The sequence below is a fragment of the Homo sapiens genome, chromosome 8 (genome assembly GCF_000001405.40).
Source record: "Homo sapiens chromosome 8, GRCh38.p14 Primary Assembly".
In the NCBI taxonomy this organism is placed as follows: domain Eukaryota; kingdom Metazoa; phylum Chordata; class Mammalia; order Primates; family Hominidae; genus Homo; species Homo sapiens.
The window spans coordinates 72,149,008-72,154,436 of record NC_000008.11 but is presented as its reverse complement, the minus strand read 5'-3'; the positions used below and the strand labels follow the sequence as shown (position 1 = coordinate 72,154,436).

At 43.3% G+C, this 5,429-nt stretch overlaps 1 annotated feature.

The window, feature by feature from the left end:
- Positions 1,273 to 1,866: an enhancer, noted in NCBI's record as "NANOG-H3K27ac-H3K4me1 hESC enhancer chr8:73064806-73065399 (GRCh37/hg19 assembly coordinates)". NCBI's record gives its function as "activates a minimal SCP1, AML or CMV promoter by ChIP-STARR-seq in naive and primed H9 embryonic stem cells {active_cell/tissue: H9 hESC(naive and primed)}" and the evidence as "EXISTENCE:reporter gene assay evidence [ECO:0000049][PMID:30033119]".

Here is a 5,429-nt window from a genome sequence, read left to right as displayed (position 1 = left end):
TCATACTCATGACCAACCAAATCAAAATCTCCAGGAGCAGGACCAAGACATCTATATTTTTGAATCGCTGGAGGACACCAAAGTGCAGGCGAAGTTAAGAACTGGTGGCTTGGAGTTGACATCTGGGACATGGAAGGCGAGAGGGAGCTGGGGCCAGGGAGGAGGAGGCAGGAAGGCAAGAAGGAACTTTCAGGTCAGTCAGTGGTGTTCCAAGGAGGTACACGTTTTTAAAAAAATCTGACCATTCATTTATTTGTTTGTTCACTGCTTGATACAATTACATGATCCCCGCATTGGATTAAGCATTGAGTACATGCAAGTAAATAAGACTTGGACATGAGCCTCTGGAAGTGCACCATCCATGCCTTGTAAATATGTGAGGACCACACTGCTGACAGTCAGGAAACCATTGTCACATGGTGGGGAGTTGAATGGGGAGCAAGGCAAGTGCTGAGCATCAGAGAAATGCTAACGCTGACTTGTCTTGGAGTTAAAATGATACACATGCTATTTAAGGTGGGGAAAGGGTGGTTTAAGTTTATTTAACAGCCCCTACTCATGGCGTTCTCAGCTGGTCCTGAGATATCCAGTTGCCAAGGCCACACTCTGCAGGAGGGCCTGTTCATTACCAGGGTCTAATAAAAACCGGGTTACCAGGAAAGGTTCAGTGAAAAGACTCAGTGAAGGTGTAGCAGATTCAGCAGTGTGGAGCCCCAGGAGAAGGAAGGGTCCTGATGCTTCCACTGAAGAAATGACAGATGTTGAACAAAATTAATGCATACTAATAGCTTGCCAATATGACCTAGACATTTCCTTAAGCAAACTGAGGCTGTGGGGGTGATCCCCCTCAATATTTTATTCACTTTTACCTATGACGTCTACTTCCATCCATTCTTTCACTCACCAACAAGAGATGTAGTGTTTACCATCTGCTAAGATTCAGGATCTCAGGCCTCAGAAAATTTACAGCTTGGGAGGAGCCAAGATGGCTGAATAGGAACAGCTCCGGTCTACAGCTCCCAGCGTGAGCGACGCAGAAGACGGGTGATTTCTGCATTTCCATCTGAGGTACCGGGTTCATCTCACTAGGAAGTGCCAGACAGTGGGCGCAGGTCAGTGGGTGTGCGCACCGTGCGCGAGCCGAAGCAGGGCGAGGCATTGCCTCACTTGGGAAGCGCAAGGGGTCAGGGAGTTCCCTTTCCGAGTCAAAGAAAGGGGTGACGGACACACCTGGAAAATCGGGTCACTCCCACCCGAATATTGCGCTTTTCAGTCCGGCTTAAAAAACGGCGCACCACGAGACTATATCCCACACCTGGCTCGGAGGGGCCTACGCCCACGGAATCTCGCTGATTGCTAGCACAGCAGTCTGAGATCAAACTGCAAGGCGGCAGCGAGGCTGGGGGAGGGGCGCCCGCCATTGCCCAGGCTTGCTTAGGTAAACAAAGCAGCCGGGAAGCTCGAACTGGGTGGAGCCCACCACAGCTCAAGGAGGCCTGCCTGCCTCTGTAGGCTCCACCTCTGGGGGCAGGGCACAGACAAAAAGACAGCAGTAACCTCTGCAGACTTAAGTGTCCCTGTCTGACAGCTTTGAAGAGAGCAGTGGTTCTCCCAGCATGCAGCTGGAGATCTGAGAACCGGCAGACTGCCTCCTCAAGTGGGTCCCTGACCCCTGTCCCCCGAGCAGCCTAACTGGGAGGCACCCCCAGCAGGGGCACACTGACACCTCACACGGCAGGGTATTCCAACAGACCTGCAGCTGAGGGTCCTGTCTGTTAGAAGGAAAACTAACAAACAGAAAGGACATCCACACCGAAAACCCATCTGTACATCACCATCATCAAAGACCAAAAGTAGATAAAACCACAAAGATGGGGAGAAAACAGAACAGAAAAACTGAAAACTCTAAAATGCAGAGCGCCTCTCCTCCAAAGGAACGCAGTTCCTCACCAGCAACAGAACAAAGCTGGATGGAGAATGACTTTGACGAGCTGAGAGAAGAAGGCTTCAGACGATCAAATTACTCTGAGCTACGGGAGGACATTCAAACCAAAGGCAAAGAAGTTGAAAACTTTGAAAAAAATTTAGAAGAATGTATAACTAGAATAACCAATACAGAGAAGTGCTTAAAGGAGCTGATGGAGCTGAAAACCAAGGCTCGAGAACTACGTGAAGAATGCAGAAGCCTCAGGAGCCGATGCGATCAACTGGAAGAAAGGGTATCAGCAATGGAAGATGAAATGAATGAAATGAAGCGAGAAGGGAAGTTTAGAGAAAAAAGAATAAAAAGAACTGAGCAAAGCCTCCAAGAAATATGGGACTATGTGAAAAGACCAAATCTACGTCTGATTGGTGTACCTGAAAGTGATGGGGAGAATGGAACCAAGTTGGAAAACACTCTGCAGGATATTATCCAGGAGAACTTCCCCAATCTAGCAAGGCAGGCCAACGTTCAGATTCAGGAAATACAGAGAACGCCACAAAGATACTCCTCGAGAAGAGTAACTCCAAGACACATAATTGTCAGACTCACCAAAGTTGAAATGAAGGAAAAAATGTTAAGGGCAGCCAGAGAGAAAGGTCGGGTTACCCTCAAAGGGAAGCCCATCAGACTAACAGTGGATCTCTCGGCAGAAACCCTACAAGCCAGAAGAGAGTGGGGGCCAATATTCAACATTCTTAAAGAAAAGAATTTTCAACCCAGAATTTCATATCCAACCAAACAAAGCTTCATAAGTGAAGGAGAAATAAAATACTTTACAGACAAGCAAATGCTGAGAGATTTTGTCACCACCAGTCCTGCCCTAAAAGAGCTCCTGAAGGAAGCGCTAAACATGGAAAGGAACAACCGGTACCAGCCACTGCAAAATCATGCCAAAAGGTAAAGACCATCGAGACTAGGAAGAAACTGCATCAACTAACAAGCAAAATCACCAGCTAACATCATAATGACAGGATCAAATTCACACATAACAATATTAACTTTAAATGTAAATGGACTAAATGCTCCAATTAAAAGACACAGACTGGCAAATTGGATAAAGAGTCAAGACCCATCAGTGTGCTATATTCAGGAAACCCATCTCACGTGCAGAGACACACATAGGCTCAAAATAAAAGGATGGAGGAAGATCTACCAAGCAAATAGAAAACAAAAAAAGGCAGGGGTTGCAATTCTAGTCTCTGATAAAACAGACTTTAAACCAACAAAGATCAAAAGAGACAAAGAAGGCCATTACATAATGGTAAATGGATCATTTCAACAAGAAGAGCTAACTATCCTAAATATATATGCACCCAATACAGGAGCACCCAGATTCATAAAGCAAGTCCTGAGTGACCTACAAAGAGACTTAGACTCCCACACATTAATAATGGGAGACTTTAACACCCCACTGTCAACATTAGACAGATCAACGAGACAGAAAGTCAACAAGGATACCCAGGAATTGAACTCAGCTCTGCACCAAGTGGACCTAATAGACATCTACAGAACTCTCCACCCCAAATCAACAGAATATACATTTTTTTTAGCACCACAACACACCTATTCCAAAATTGACCACATAGTTGGAAGTAAAGCTCTCCTCAGCAAATGTAAAAGAACAGAAATTATAACAAACTGTCTCTCAGACCACAGTGCAATCAAACTAGAACTCAGGATTAAGAATCTCACTCAAAGCTGCTCAACTACATGGAAACTGAACAACCTGCTCCTGAATGACTACTGGGTACATAACGAAATGAAGGCAGAAATAAAGATGTTCTTTGAAACCAACGAGAACAAAGACACAACATACCAGAATCTCTGGGACGCATTCAAAGCAGTGTGTAGAGGGAAATTTATAGCACTAAATGCCCACAAGAGAAAGCAGGAAAGATCCAAAATTGACACCCTAACATCACAATTAAAAGAACTAGAAAAGCAAGAGCAAACACATTCAAAAGCTAGCAGAAGGCAAGAAATAACTAAAATCAGAGCAGAACTGAAGGAAATAGAGACACAAAAAACCCTTCAAAAAATCAATGAATCCAGGAGCTGGTTTTTTGAAAGGATCAACAAAATTGATAGACCGCTAGCAAGACTAACAAAGAAAAAAAGAGAGAAGAATCAAATAGACACAATAAAAAATGATAAAGGGGATATCACCACTGATCCCACAGAAATACAAACTACCATCAGAGAATACTACAAACACCTCTACGCAAATAAACTAGAAAATCTAGAAGAAATGGATAAATTCCTCAACACATACACTCTCCCAAGACTAAACCAGGAAGAAGTTGAATCTCTGAATAGACCAATAACAGGAGCTGAAATTGTGGCAATAATCAATAGTTTACCAACCAAAAAGAGTCCAGGACCAGATGGATTCACAGCCAAATTCTACCAGAGGTACAAGGAGGAACTGGTACCATTCCTTCTGAAACTATTCCAATCAATAGAAAAAGAGGGAATCCTCCCTAACTCATTTTATGAGGCCAGCATCATTCTGATACCAAAGCCGGGCAGATACACAACCAAAAAAGAGAATTTTAGACCAATATCCTTGATGAACATTGATGCAAAAATCCTCAATAAAATACTGGCAAAACGAATCCAACAGCACATCAAAAAGCTTATCCACCATGATCAAGTGGGCTTCATCCCTGGGATGCAAGGCTGGTTCAATATATGCAAATCAAGAAATGTAATCCATCATATAAACAGAGCCAAAGACAAAAACCACATGATTATCTCAATAGATGCAGAAAAAGCCTTTGACAAAATTCAACAACCCTTCATGCTAAAAACTCTCAATAAATTAGGTATTGATGGGACGTATTTCAAAATAATAAGAGCTATCTATGACAAACCCACAGCCAATATCACACTGAATGGGCAAAAACTGGAAACATTCCCTTTGAAAACTGGCACAAGACAGGTATGCCCTCTCTCACCACTCCTATTCAACATAGTGTTGGAAGTTCTGGCCAGGGCAATTAGGCAGGAGAAGGAAATAAAGGGTATTCAATTAGGAAAAGAGGAAGTCAAATTGTCCCTGTTTGCAGACGACATGATTGTATATCTAGAAAACCCCATTGTCTCAGCCCAAAATCTCCTTAAGCTGATAAGCAACTTCAGCAAAGTCTCAGGATACAAAATCAATGTACAAAAATCACAAGCATTCTTATACACCAACAACAGGCAAACAGAGAGCCAAATCATGAGTGAACTCCCATTCACAATTGCTTCAAAGAGAATAAAATACCTAGGAATCCAACTTACAAGGGATGTGAAGGACCTCTTCAAGGAAAACTACAAACCACTGCTCAAGGAAATAAAAGAGGATACAAACAAATGGAAGAACATTCCATGCTCATGGGTAGGAAGAATCAATATCGTGAAAATGGCCATACTGCCCAAGGTAATTTACAGAATCAATGCC